The sequence below is a fragment of the Homo sapiens genome, chromosome 14 (genome assembly GCF_000001405.40).
Source record: "Homo sapiens chromosome 14, GRCh38.p14 Primary Assembly".
Taxonomy (NCBI): domain Eukaryota; kingdom Metazoa; phylum Chordata; class Mammalia; order Primates; family Hominidae; genus Homo; species Homo sapiens.
The window spans coordinates 53,583,966-53,597,332 of record NC_000014.9 but is presented as its reverse complement, the minus strand read 5'-3'; the positions used below and the strand labels follow the sequence as shown (position 1 = coordinate 53,597,332).

The 13,367-nt window shown below is 37.9% G+C and overlaps 1 long non-coding RNA gene across 3 annotated transcripts in view; it reads right to left on the bottom strand.

Moving 5' to 3' along the window:
* LOC105370504 (uncharacterized) overlaps positions 1-13,367 on the bottom strand; it is a 402,142-nt gene that overhangs the window by 125,461 nt on the left and 263,314 nt on the right. The window lies entirely within an intron of this gene.

Here is a 13,367-nt window from a genome sequence, read left to right as displayed (position 1 = left end):
TAGTCACAGAGAAGATCACAAACAAGCTCTTATAACACGGTTAGTTGGTTTTCTATTACTACATAACAAATTACCACAAATTTAGCAGCTTTAAACAACACAAACATATTATTTCATGTTTCTGTAGGTCAAGATCCACAGGGCCAAAATCTAAAAGTGTCAGCTGAGACTGCAGTTCTCACTGGGAGCTTGGGGTCCTCTCCAAGTTCACTGGATGCTGGAAGAATTCATTTCCTCGAGGCTGCAGGACTTAGATCCACATTTTCCTGCTAGCTGCTGGCTGGGAACCACTCTCAGCAACCAAAGGCTGTCCACAGTTTCTTGTCATGTGGTCCCATCAGGCAGTTCACACTCGATATTTTTCTTTCTTCCAGGCCAGCTGGAGTATGGCTCTCCGCCTTCCTTTCCAGCACCAGTCAGAAAAAACTCAGGTTTTAAAGGGCTCAGGTGATAGGTCAGGCCCACCTACCTAATCTCCCTGTCTTTAGGTAAACTGATTTGATTCTTTAATTGTATCTCCAAAATCCCTTTACAGCAGTACTTTTACTGAATAAGGAAAAGAAGGTGTGTATTGGCGCTGTGGCTCACGTCTGTAATGCCAGCACTTTGGGAGGCCCAGGCAGGTGGATCACTTTGAGCTCAGGAGTTCAAGACCAGCCTGAGCAACACTGTGAAACCCTGGCTCTACTAAAAGTACAAAAATTAGCAGGGCATGGTAGGGCGCCTGTAATCCCAGCTACTCAGCAGGCTGAGGCTGGAGAATGGCACGATCCCAGGAGACAGAGGTTGCAGTGAGCTGAGATCGTGCCACTGCACTCCAGCCTGGGCGACAGAGAGAGAATCTGTCTCAAACGAACGAACAAACAAACAAACAAACAGAAGGTGTGTGTACACCAGAAGCATGGAAATTTGAGGCTGTCTTAAAATTTTGCCTGCCACACATAACAATAGCCATCAGCCACAAATGCTGGCTACCTCTATAATTTTAAATTCTTTAGGAGTAACATTAAAAAGGAGGGAAAAGGCAAAAATAATACGTCATTTAGCCTAATATATCCAAAACATTATAATTTTGATATGTAATCAATATAATAATTATTAATGAGATATTTTACCTTCTTTTTTCCATACTAAGACTTTAAAATCTAATTCATATTTTACGCTTATAGCTCATTTCATTCAGGCTAACCACATTTCAAGTACTCAATAGCCATACAATGCTGATCAGGATTGGATGGTGGCTGCTTTTCTCCTATATGGGACTGTCTCATTTCCAGAAATGCTTACCTTAACTTTCAACTCTGAGGGTCAGCAGTTCTTGTTCTTGCTTTCACTGTGACATTGGTGGCTGTCTTAAAGCTCATAACACTTCTATGTTGATTATTAAGCTTTAATTCTCACAGAAGAACTGTGATAGTTTTTCCTGTTTTTCTGATTTCTCAATTGATTTTTATGGAATGCAAGATTAATGAAAACACACATTTACTGAGAAATTCTGAGAAGGAATTTCTACATGGAAATACTATGAGATATATACTGCAAAAAGTAACTAAGGCTCAAAGAGACTAGATTATTGTCCCAAATCTTTACACAACTAGTATGACTGTCTGATCATCCTCTTGGCTACTGTATTGTATTGTTAATTCTTGTGTAACTAGAAGGACAAACCATCTTTCCTCTTCACTCCTCATTCCCAGTGTGTTAGAGGGTAATTCTTGTCTAAGACTTTAATCAGAGGCATACTTGTGAACAATATTTTTTATGCTTCAGCTAAATCCGTAGGTGTGCAAAGGAATATCCTGAGCTAAATTTGGAGGTGAGGGCTGGAGATTGTGGAATTGTTCTGCTTAAGAACATAGAGGTAAAACTACACATTTAGTGGTTAGTCAATTTTCAACAAGAGTGCCAAGACAATTCAATGAGGAAAGAAAAGTTTTGCAGCAAATAGTGCTGGGACACTAGATATCCACATGCAAAAGAGTAAATTAGACCCCCTACCTCACACTACCTACAAAAATTTACTCAAAATGAAGCAATGACCTAATTATAGGAGCTAAAACTATAATATTCTTAGAAGAAAATGTAGGCGTAAATTTGGCAATTTCTCAAGAAGTTAAACATCAACTTACCATATGACCCAGCAATTCTACTCCTAGGTATATACCCAAGAGAACTGAAAATATATGTTCATACAAACACTTGTACACAAATGTTCACAGCAACATTATTCCAATAGCCAAATGTTAGAAACAAACCAAATGTCCATCAACTGATAAATGAGTAAATAAATGAGGTATGTCCATACAATGGAATATTATTCAGTCATAAAAAGGAAAGAAGTACTGATATATGCTACAATGTGGATGAACCTTGAAAACATTACACTAAGTGAAAGAAGGCAGAACCAAAAGACCATATATTGAATGATTCCATTTATATGAAATGTTTAGAACAGGCAAATCCAAAGATAGAAAGTAGATTAGTGGTTGCCAAGAACTGGGAGCTAGGGGACTGAGGACTACTAAAGAGTATGAGGTTCCCTTTTGGAGTTGTGCAAATATTCTAGAATTATATAGTAGTGACTGTTGCACACCTTTGTGAATATATTAAAAACCATTCAATTGCACACTTTAAAATGGTGAATTGTATGTTATATGAATTATATATCAATTAATACAAAGGGAACATAGAAGAACTTGTATTTTGTTCCTGAGAAGAGAGAGACTTTTAGAAAAGGAAACAGGAGCAGGAAGAGAAAGAAAGAGCATCCAGGGCAATGTGGCTGGGGACTCAGCCTTACTTGCAACAAGGAGCAAGGGGCATTTTAAGATGAAGACTGTCCAATATTCAGTAGTAAGATGTTGCAATAATAAATCATCTCAATCTTACCTAAACCCCAGCGAAGTTTGATAAATCCAAAAAGGCTTTTTATAAATGAGTCTTTTTATATTTTATTTACTGCTTGCTTTGGTCTTTTTCTGTGTGTGTGTGGCGGGGACAGAATTATGTCAAAGTTCTGAGTTCCAAGTGTAGGCCAATGCACCATGGAGCAGTAACATAATGTGAGGGACGATATGATTATCCTCAAATGGAACCAAGGTGAGCAGCTGGAACCTGGAGTCAGTGGTGGGCATAAGAATGTGAGCCCTGGAAATGTGCAGATATTCTGGGAAAGGAGCTTGACTTCCCACAGTGATGGACTGGAGTTTCTAGGTAATATTTTCTAAATCATAATAATGAGAGTGACTCCAATGAATGTGTGAGTAATCAATAAAACTTAGTTTAAGAATGGTTAATTCTGATTCTTTCCTATGAGATTTAGACCATACCTGCCCTGATGAGAGCTATGTGTATTTCAAATATCTAGACCTCAGTTTTTCTGTTTCTATAAATTAAGAAAGTTGGTCTAGATCCTTTTTCATCCCCCAAATTCTTGTACGCTGGGCAAATAAAAATTTGCAGCTCAAGTTTTACAAGCCCAAGCTTTCTGGATTAAAAAATATATATATGCCACCAACAAATTACCCTCAGATCCATAAAATTTCAAATCAGTTAGTTGGGAAAGTCACAAGGATACCAGCAAGTACTTGCTAATAGAGAAAGAAAGCAAAGTTCTTTTTCAACTGGACACCCAAGGTAGGGGAGAACATCCTCCTTACCTACAAAGGAATTCTTAACAACTTGAGGTCCAGGCCCACGTCAGTGTATTTAGCAATGGTTTTAGACTTACAGTATGCCAATTTGCAAAATGGAGAAGGTTAACTTTTTGCATAAGAGGTTTTCTTTTCTGCTTTGTCAACTTTTCTCTACCTGAAGAATGGTATCTTACAGACAGCCTTGTTCCTATAACCAAACACTCTCATATGAACTAATTCTAGAGAAATTCATATTGTGTTGATTTCTGTCCCTCTGTACTTAAAAACCACAAAGAATGTATACAGTGGTCAAGAACATGGCTCTCAGGTGAGAAAGGTCTTCTTCCATCTAGAATGCCAACTCTGTGAGAGCAAGAGCTCTGTCATTCATCATGACATCCTCAACATCTGCCATCATGCCTGACACAAATTGTTTAATAAATGTTTGTCAAATGAATGAATGGTGCAAATATCAATTCTACCATGATGATTTCATTGGCTGAGCCTCCATTTCCTCATCTGCAAAATGGAGGTAATAGCACCTCCCTCACAGAAGTTTCTGTGGTATAGGGTATGCAAGGAGCTTAGCACAGGGCTGGCATGCAGCACTCATTCATGGTGCCTAATGTTGCTATTTTTAGAGCAATCTGTCTTTGAAACATTTTTTGGGACTCATTATGAAAGAGTCTTTTAAAAAGTGGACAGCTTGTCACATGACTCCAACTACTAGAGGATTATAAGAGTAAAGTAATGTCTGTTCAAATCAAAGCCCAACATAAATAATTCAGAGGGAATTATTTAGGTTGGGAATTTGTTAATGAAGAAGCCGGTGTTTGCACACAATGAGAGACCTAAGACTGAAGGGGCAAAAAAAGACACTTCAAATTCTGTTCTCACATAGACCCTCAGAAAGTACTTTGGGAAGAAAAAAACACCATTCTCTTTATTCACCTCCTAATATTACTGTGGCCCCTACAACATCCTCCAGACTTAATTCTCATCTTTATGACTTCAGAAACTTCAGTACAAATCAGGGGTTCTGATGGGATATCTATGAATGGAGGAATCTCACTGCTTTAATTTATACCACAGAACGTCTGATTGTTCAGTTTTGCAAATTAGCAAGTGAACAAACCAATTTAAAGAAATAAAGACAATGCCACATAAAACACAGTCCTCTTATTTATCTTGATGAGGCATGGTTCCATTTTAATGATTTCTGTTAATGTTTTATTGTACAGTGGTTATGCCCCCAAGTGCATTTTATAAGACTAATGAAGTCTTAGTAATCCGAGGCGTCTTCTCCAATATGCTCTTACTATGTCTTTGCTGAGAACGCTTGTGGGGAGACCACCACCACTGTGTGAGCAAGGAAGTTTGTGAATTAGTGAAATGAGAATCAGTCAAGTTCTACAGTAGTGAGGGGTCCACAGGCAGTTCCAGTGGGATTCTGCATTTTCACACAAAAATGGTCTATTGGTCTTCATTACAATGAGAGATGAGCAGACTCTGCTGTGTTTAGGGTTCATCAAACATCAAACCACTTTTTTTTTCAAATGTTTTGGGTTTGCCAAAATCCAAAACACGTTTTGCCCTCAGCATTTTTCCCTTCATTTTCAAACCCCTGTGTATTTTAAGGGAAATTTAATCCTTATGTTTCTGACTCATTTGCACTTAACACGTGAACATGTTGTTTCATAAGACTTATTTGAAGTCTATGAAGCCTTGTAAGTCTTCTAAAGCCCTTTTTCCATAGTGGCAGGAAGCTGTGTGTTGCAAAGTTATGTGAACTTGAATCCTCAATGAGCGGAATTGGTTTGAAACATAAGATTTTTTTAAGACACAATGTTAAATTGAGTTAAACTTGGTAAAACCCATCCTCTCTCCCACAATTGCTATCCTATATTTTGGTGCATAGCTTTTAACAATAAAGTAACTGAGGCTACACAGCAGTTATTCTTGAAATTTCTGTGCTATATCCGGCAAGCTGGATTTCTATAGAGGAAGAAGGAGCTGAGGTCATTTGCTAGCTGTGGCCAGTGAAATGCAGTTTAAGTTCTAGATTTTCTCATTTCTAGTCACATCCTCTCGGGAAGCCACTGTCCGCTGGGTGTTTAGCTAAAAGACCCTCCTGCAAACTTCCCCCAGCCTTACAAAGGGGTGTGTTGCCTGTAGAAGCCCACGCACACTGGCATCTACCAGACCTGGGTTGAAATCCTAGCAGCACTACTTCTTGGGAGTCATGCAAAGTAGGGAAGGATTACTGCCTAGAGAGAGAACATTTCCCACCCTAGAGAATCAGAAAAATAAACCAAAACAGTGATCAATGCATAGAGTTTTAATCCAGATACTGTGGCAATAGGCAGAGGTGGGGAAAAGTGGAGGCTTCAGTCCCTTCTGTGTTCTTGTGTTCAGCCCTCTCATTCATCCTTTCTCCTATGCAGCTTCTTCCACTGCAACAGAGCTCCAGACGGGTCTGCAAAATTGATATGGATGGGGCATCCAGAGCCATTTCCAGATTCTTCTTCGAACAGATAGAAACTTTGGGCCTCCTGAGGTTTCTCTAGGTTAGAAATGATTTAGAATCATTGTGTAAGGAATAAGAATTTTAGAGTTAATCATTCTAGCCCTGTACCTTGCCTCTTCCACTTCTTAAGTTGTTTCATGCTTGGGGAGTTAATTATATCTTCTCTGATAACTTCTCTGAGCTCTATTTTCCAGGTGCAAATGAAGATTTTAAAAAATACTTATAAGGTGATAGCACCAATTAAATGAGATCAAACATAGTAAGTGATTAGTGAGCATGTATTAAAGGCACAATGAATAGTCTTTGCATTTGTTGCTATCATTGCATCTGTTGCTATCATTGTTGACATTGTTCATTTTGGCAAATGACCAGCTCCTGCAGAATTTATGGTATCTAGTGTCCTTCTCCTCCACTCCTTATAATCCCTTTCCCTATCCCAATTATTTGGACAGGACTAAATATCCAAGTGTAGTATTTTGCATTACTTATTTTTGTCACTGTTGAATCTCTTTGGGCATCAAATTAGTGGCACCTTCCTTCTGCCTCTGCCCCCATGGTCAATCATGAGCAATCCCACTCCTAATTAGAATAGGATAATCTTTAATCTAACCCTTAAACAGTAGTCTTCAGCACCATCTATTTTCAGGCACAACTGGTTGAATTCAAATATATTTGCCTTTCCTTTGAGACTGTCTTCTACATTCCTCCTTTTCAATAGAGTCCTTCTCTCTAGTCGCTCCTCTGCAAGCAGATACCTTTACTGATGGCCTTCTTTCTGCCTTCATGCCTTTCCATATAATTTCCTTGTAACTTTCATGGAGTGCTTTCTCATTTCTTGCTCCTCCAAGAAGTATCCTTGGCTTAATTCATGACAGTTATCTCAAAACTAATTCCTCCTCCCTCTGTGGATTAATAAACGGCTCTGCTACTTTCCCAGACACTCAAGCCAAGACTCTCAGGTCATTTTGGTTTCTCTCTTTCCATCATCCCCCACATCTGATCACTCTATGGATTCCACATCAGCAACAAATATATTTCTCCATCCTCTTCTGCATGTTCACTGCTAACACTCCAGGCTAACCCTCTGTTACATGATGCCTATACAACAGCACCACTTTTCCAGCTGCTGATCCTCTCCACTTTTGTTTCCCCCGTTTTTCCCCTACAACGCATTCTCCAATGTTTTTAGGATCCTACAAGGTTCACATAAGCCAGCACATCTTGTTTCACTCTCCCTCCAGCTCGCCATGCACCAGACACACTAACCTTGCAGTCCTTCAAAGGTTTCCATCTGCCTTCCACAAGGGGGTATTTTCTCTGCCCAGAGCAAGGTTCCCTCCTCCCTTAATCCAGTCAATTCCTAGTCTTTCTTCTTGCCAAAGCTGAAACCTCACTTTCTCTGAGAAGCCTTTCTTAACCTTCCTCATACACCTTCACAGCACCCAAACTTCTCCGTTGTGATACTTATTACAAACATCACTAAATAATTTGGATGGTGACTATTCATTTCATAGCTCCTAATTGTGCCATAAGCCTAAACTCCAGGAGGGACCATGTCTGTCTAGTATACTGCTGTATCCCCCCTGCTAGAAAGATGCCTCAGCCTGGCTTGTTCTTCATAAAAATGCCTTGAATGAATTCATCCCTCCCAACTTTGTGCACTGTTGTCCTACATCCCTTCCTGTGTAAGGTTTCAGTTTGCACAGCTGAAACTTGTACTAGTCTTAAAGTCCTTTGGTGGTTGTAGTCAAGGTACTAGATCTGGTTCAGGATTAGATTGTGAGCTCTAGGTGGAAAAATGCCACATTTTCCATTTCTTTTGTTTTTGCCACAGTCTCTTCACTCCTGATATAATGAAATCATATTTTTTGGTGTTTACAGGGTGACTGATAACTCACACTCTTCCTGAACAACTGTTAGATTACCTTTGAGATTTCTCTTTTCTACAAATCAAGTTCTTGACTTGACTATGGTTTATATTCTTCTATCAACGAAGTGGCAATATGAAATCAACGTTGTTAAAGCTCAGGAACTGTTTTACATGTTTAATAGATTATTAGTTGAAAGTTAAGTAAATGTATGTATGCCTTTGATAAGTTGTATTGATTCTGAGATCTGACCCAATAACATGAAAAAAAGACTCCAGAAAACAAAAGCATTTAAAACACATTGTTTTAATTTGTTAACAGGTATGTCAGTAATTACATTTTAAGGATAACAATTTTTTAAACTTTTATTTTAACATGATTTTAAACTTACAGAGAAGGTACAAGAATTGTATAGAGAAATCAGGTACACTTTTCACCCAGATTCCCCAATTATAACATTTTACATTCTCTTTCTTGTTTATTGTTCTCTGTCTCTCTGTATGTACATTTCTGAATCATTTGAGAGTAAGTTGTAGATAGGATACTCCTTAATATTTCAGTGAATATTTTCTAAAAACTAAGACATCTTCCTATGTATCTGTAGCAAAACAATCAGAATCAGGAAATTAACATCAATACAATAATAATATCTAATCCATGGATCCTAAACAAATTGTGCCAACTGTCCCTTTAACGTCCTTTACAAGTCCAGGATCAAATCCAGGATCGGCCATGCATTTCATAGCCAAGAGGGCTTGCTTTGTTTTGTCTATTTTGACCTTAATATTTTTGAAAGTACACAACAGTTACTTTGTAGAATGGCCCTCAGTCTGGGTTTACCTGATGTTTCTTCATTATTAAATTCATATTCATGATTTTTAGCAAGAGCACTACAAAAATGATGCTGTAGTCTTCTTAGTGCATAACAGAAGACACATTATGTCAACTTTCCAATTTAAAGATTGTGTTAACTTTTTTCCTTAAGATGGTATTGACCAGATTTTCCACTTTAAAATTAATTAATATATCTTTTATACTTATTAAAAACTCATTAATAAGTAAATTCTGTGGCTCTATTTTGAGACTATGTAAATATCCCATTCCTCATCAAATGTTATCCACCAGTTTAGCAACCATTGATGAGTCTTGCTTTAATCAATTATTATTATTATGGTTTTTAAATAGTGTTTTTTTCTAAATTTTATTATTCCTTTTACATTCATTATCTGGCATTCTACTGAAAGGTAGAATTTTTTATATTTATCCATTCATACATTTCTATCATTATGGTTTTTTGAGGCCCAGATCATTCTACATGTAGCCAGTGAGAGTTTTTTCAAAATAACTCTTGTATCCTTTTGATATGTCCCCAATATTCTTTGTAGGCTTTCTTATTTTTTTAGCACACAACATTTTTCAGAGTCATCTTGTACTTTTCCTGCTCCAGTCCCAGAATCACTTATTTCTCCAAGGAACTCTGTTTCCTTTTAGTGGAGAATGATACTTAGTAATCAAGATATGGGTATGAGGCGTACTCATTGCTACTGGGTATGATTGCTTCTACTCCCTCTAATACCCACATGTCTATACATAAATCTATATTTGTTTCAATATCTATATCTATCTCTCTGTAAATTCCAAAACCCATGACTCATGTATGGGTTTTCTTTAGCCTTCCTTCTTTTTATTGGTAAATCCTTTCTCTAAAAGAGAGAAATCTGGCTTTCAATTCTCTTAATATATTTACTTACATGGTCAATTCCCCTGCATGTAATCAATATCCCGACCACATGGACCACCTCCTTGGCCCCCACCCCATGTCCTCAATCAAGTAGGGTACCTTCATGACCCTTGCCCTGCTGACGCTAAATATATTCCTTTCTTATGGAGAGTCTCCATATATTTAGGAAAATGTCACATACTCTTTCTCTGTAAAACTGAAAATAAAGCTTATTTTTGACATATGACAACCATATTTTGGATCTTTCTTATAAGTAGAAACAATCTCTGAGACTCAGCAATGTTGAAATTCTTGTTTCAATGCCTTAATTCAGAAACATATAGTTCTTTAGCTATTGATCCCTAGAATCTAACATTAGCTAAAAATTTGAAAAATACTTCTAATTTTAAATGGACTACACTCACAAGATTCTATGGAAGTCCAGAGGAGAAGCACCCAACCCAGCCTTGGTGAGTCATAGAAAGCTTCCTGAAGATGATGTCTGGTTTGGTTTGTTGTTGTTGTTGTTTGTTTTGTTTTGTTTTGTTTTGAGACGGAGTCTCGCTCTGTCTCCCAGGCTGGAGTGCAGTAGCGTGATCTCCACTAACTACAAGCTCCACCTCCCGGGTTCACACCATTCTCCTGCCTCAGCCTCCTGAGGAGCTTGGACTACAAGCACCCGCCACCACGCCTGGCTAATTTTTTTTTTTTTATATTCTTTAGTACAGATGGGGTTTCACCATGTTAGCCAGGATGGTCTCGATCTCCTGACCTTGTGATCCACCCGCCTCAGCCTCCCAAAGTGCTGGGATTACAGGAGTGAGCCACCGTGCCTGGCCCTGGTTTGGTTTTGATGCCTCGTGTATTAGGTTTCTCCAGAGAAATAAGATCAATAGGATGTGTATGTATATGTGTATGTCTGTATATATACATATATATAAATATTAATTATATATATGTATATGGGAAAAGAGGATGAGAGGAAGAGAGATGGAGACTTATTAAGGAATTAGATCTTGTGATTATGGAGGCTAAGAAGGCTGAAGATCTCCAGTCAGCAAGCTGGAGACCCAGAAGAGTTGATGTGTAAGTTCCAGTCCAAGGCCAGCAGCTTAAGACACAAAAAGAGCCAACGTTTTAATTTAATTCTGAAGGCAGAAAAGGACTTATGTCCCAGCTCAAGCAGTCAGGAAAGAGGAGATTCCCTTTATTTGCATGAGGGTCCGCCTTTTTTGTTCTATTCGGTCTTTCATCTGACTGGATGAGGGTCACCCACATCAGAGAGGGCAATCTGCTTCAGTAACTCTACAGATTCAAACATTCATTTCATCCAAGGACACCCTCACAAACACCAGAAATAATGTTTGACCAAATATCTGGGCACCCTGTGGTCCAATCAATTTGACACATAAAATTAACCATCATACCTTGGTTTTTCTAAATACTATTTTTGTTGCTAAGATCTTTGAAAGATTCAATAAGTTTTCCTTTAGTCCTTAGACTAGATTAGATTTCTTTACTCTTCATTCACTTTTTTATTTTTATTATTATTATTATTATTTTTTAAGATGGAGTCTTGGTCTGTCACCCAGGCTGGAGTGCTGTGATGCAATCTCGGCTCACTGCAAGCTCCGCCTCCTGGGTTCATTCCATTCTCCTGCCTCAGCCTCCTGAGTAGCTGGGACTACAGGCACCCACCAAGACGCCTGGCTAATTTTTTTGTATTTTTAGTGGAGATGGGGTTTCACTGTGTTAGCCAGGATGGTCTTGATCTCCTGACCTCGTGATCAGCCCACTTCAGCCTCCCAAAGTGCTGGGATTATAGGCATGAGCCACTGCGCCTGGCCTCTTCATTCACTTTCTTATTAATCACATTACTTTTTTATTCATCATGTTATTGTAATTAATCACATATTAACACCAGAAATTTCCCTTACCCTCTAGCTCTGTGACCAAAGTGGCTGTATTTCACTTGTTTTCTACCATAGCCTTAGGTCCCAGCACTGTGCCTGACCTAGAGGAGGCACTTGATAAACATTTATTGAATTGAATTGATTATGTCCTCACTCCTTGGTATTATGGCCTTTAAGTAATTATTTTCCAAAATTGCATCCATGCTACATTGTAGCCCAAGTATAAATGATGACAATCCTCTCCCCATCTGCTTTTTACTGAGCAAGGGTACCATGACTAAAACTTTTCTCAAGTTTAGAGTCTAGCAAAAATTCATATAGTCAAACAACCAAAATTCTGGATCTGTTGCTCATTCTTTTAACACACAATGGTGGTTTCAGCAGTTATAACCCAGCCTGTCATTGTCTAGCCACACTACCCTCAGACAGAAAACCCTCCCCTCTTAATGATCAGCACAATTAGGTGATTGTGGCTACAATTATTTGTCATTTCAGCTTTGAATCTCCAGATGAACTCAGTATCAAATGAAATAGACAAAAAACAAAAATAAAGCAAATTCTGATGCAATGCTGAGATAGAACGTAACCTGGGGTTTCTCTCTCCTAAAAAAGTTGCAATAATGAGTGTTCCATGTTTAAACTCAAAATATCATAAAGTTTCTTTGCAGTCATACTATACTTAAACCATAGCTGCTGTTCTATTTTTATAAAAGATTAAATCCTAGCAATACCCTAATTTACATTCATGTTTACAAAGAAAGCTATGACAGCAGTCACCAGTAAAATGCTGCTCTAACACTTAAAATGTCACACCTACAAAAGTAGCTGTTTGTTATTTCCCTCTCTTTCAGCATTATAGCATAGAGGGAATGAAGTCAGCCTAAGATTCAAGAACCTGTGTTTGATTTCTAACTCCATCTCTTACTAGCCATGTAATTTTACCTATGGAGTCATTGATTTATAAAATGAAGATGGTAATGTCTTTGCTATGTATTATAAAGAGTGGATAAACCAAATGATATATCATATGTAAGCATACTTTATGAAGTGCTGTACACACTAAGCGACCATCAATGCCACATTAGACAAGTATATTTCATTTTAAAATAAAGGATTCCTAGAAATGAAAGAATTTTTCATTAAGGTATTATAATTTATGAATTATACTTTTAAGTATTTTCTTCAGTTTTTATACTTAACTTTTTAAAAGCAACTTCTTTTAACTCCATAGGACACCTTGTATTTAATAGATAATGAACAAATAATTTGTTGAATGAGCAAATAATTGCTTCATCTTTTTGGGTGGGTAGTTACTTTGGTGAAGCAACACCTTCAGTTAATTCCATAGCCCCTGCACATACAGGCAACGGGAAATTTCAGGAAGATCTTTAAACTTTGGGAATTCAGTGAATTGTTTTCAAGTTCAAGATGCTCCAGTCAACATGGCAAAGAAGAGGCAATGCTGACACCATGTTGAAACGTCCTAGTGAGGTTTCCATCTTTAAAAAGGGTCCCTTGATGGTTTGTTTCCACCAGGGCATCAGAGACAGCAGCCTGCTCTCACCATCTGGGTATAATAAATGAAGAATTTGAGTCATAAAAATTTCTACCCAATTTAAGATGCACAGTATTGCTTTTCTCAAACTAACTGCCCCTGGCGTTCTAGTTAATACTTCCGTTCAAAATAAAAAACCTTAAAAGCCT